This window comes from Homo sapiens, chromosome 8 (genome assembly GCF_000001405.40).
Source record: "Homo sapiens chromosome 8, GRCh38.p14 Primary Assembly".
NCBI classification, from domain to species: domain Eukaryota; kingdom Metazoa; phylum Chordata; class Mammalia; order Primates; family Hominidae; genus Homo; species Homo sapiens.
Window position 1 is genome coordinate 83,191,677 of NC_000008.11, and position 1,151 is coordinate 83,192,827.

A 1,151-nucleotide genomic window follows, 5' to 3' on the forward strand; every position below is an offset into this window, starting at 1 on the left:
TGATGAAATCTTGAATTTTATAAAGAGCAATCAAACAAAAGTGCTTCTATGAATTGAATAGCTTAATCTAAATGTTAAGTTTATTGATGCATAGGATGCATTATACAACAGAGTCTGAGTAATGTATGTAGGAAAGCATAAAGTGCAAGATATAAAAGATGTTGAGATGTCTTTCTGAGATTTACAGAGTCTTTGGATTACTGAGTAATGACACAAAATGACACTTTGCCAAACAAAATTTTGTTATTAAAGGAGTAAAAATTAAACAGAAGAATATAGGAGCAATACGTTGCCAAGTTCATAGATAAATATGAATATTTTATATATTTCAAGTGAAGTGTGAGGATGTTACATAGAGCTCTTTAAGGTATTTTCTTGTGTAAGGTAATTTAGAATATAATTATTTGGTCATTGCAATATAAGTTAATTTCCTAAAATCAAAATGATCTCCATTTATTATTTTTGATTTTTAACCCCAGAAAATTATCCCTTGGGATTCTACAATCAACACACTCCATATTGCACTGAGGTTGGGTTGACACTGTAGAATACGTATTGTGTAGCCTGGGAATACATTTTTGTTTGCCAGTTTTTAAATCTTATTTAAGGCTTTAGTTTGCATATGGCTGTTAGCTTCATATCATACAATTTTCTACACAGTGTTGAATGGTTATAATTGTGATGACAGAAATAATATCAATCAAGCCATTATTAAGTTCTTTGCTCTAATTCATTTCAATTTTGTAAATGTTAATATTTTTATTGAAAAATATTTCTCAATTAAAATTCTCCTTGTAGTTCTAGGCTCTTCTATGTCATGAGGAAGTGATTGTCTGTTTTTGTGTGGCTATTTGTTTTGCTTTGTGTTATATTTTTACAAAAATATAAGGTACAAAATTAAACAATTAGGCGTTAACATATAGACAAAACATAATTTTTTTCAAACAGTATTTCCACAGACACCCATCATCATTTTACCTTGATAATCTCAGCCTTATACAATTACAGAAATGAGGGTAGTAGTAGGTCAACAGTTATAGAAAAGAGAAAATTCAGAAAAATAAGAAAGATACTAAGGGCCAGGACATATTTGAGGGAGACATAATTTCCTAATTTGAGTAACTATTAGAAATACATTCATGAAATATTTA